Here is a 976-nt window from a genome sequence, read left to right on the forward strand (position 1 = left end):
GTCTCTACTAACAATACAAAAAATTAGCTGGGCATAGTGGTGGGTGACTGTAATCCCAGCTACTCAGGAAGTTGAGGCAGGAGAATTGCTTGAACCTGGGAGGCGGAGGTTGCAGTAAGCTGAGATTGCTCCACTGCACTCCAGCCCAGGCGACAGAGTGAGACTGCATCTAAAAAAAAAAAAAAGAAAAAGAAACAGAGATGTACCAAAAATAATGAACTAGGTTATCTCTGGGGGACAGAGGAAGGAATAGGTGGAAGGGATAGAGCTGAGGAAGCTAGACTTTTCTAAGCATAACTTTTTACATAGTTTTGACTTAAAAAAATTTTAACTTTGAAATTATAGATTAAAACCAGGTGTGGTGGCTCATGCCTGTAATCCCAGCACCTTGGGAGGCCGAGGTGGGCAGATAGCTTAACTCAGGAGTTCAAGACCAGCCTAGGCAACATGGCAAAATCCCATCTCTACAAAAAATACAAAAATTAGCCAGGCGTGGTGTTGTATGCCTGTAGTTTCAGCTACTTAGGGGGCTGAGGCAGAAGGATCCCTTGAAACAGGGAGGTCAAGGCTGCAATGAGCAGAGATCGTACCACTGCACTCCAGGCTGGGCAACAGAGTGAGATCCTGTCTCAAAACAAACAAAAACAAAAAAATGTGACTTGCAAAATAATGCATTGGAGTTACTGCTCTCTTAATACAAATGCTTTGAATTGTGTCTCTGCTTGTCACCCCTGGCCTCTTTTACACCCTGGGGCAATGTGCCATTGTTAGACAAGGAGGATATGTATACCTTCCTTTTGGAAAAAGGATGACTGTAAAAGCAGAAATAAGAAAAGAGAAGCTGTGCCCACAACACTAACATGCTTTTAGGCAAGTCAATTTTAGGAAAGAGTTTATATGAAACTGAAGATCTGGGAATTGATCCCTTAAGAACAAAGTCTGAGTACCCTTTGAAGTCCACTGGTATACCCGTGCC

Source organism: Homo sapiens, chromosome 2 (genome assembly GCF_000001405.40).
Source record: "Homo sapiens chromosome 2, GRCh38.p14 Primary Assembly".
NCBI lineage: Eukaryota > Metazoa > Chordata > Mammalia > Primates > Hominidae > Homo > Homo sapiens.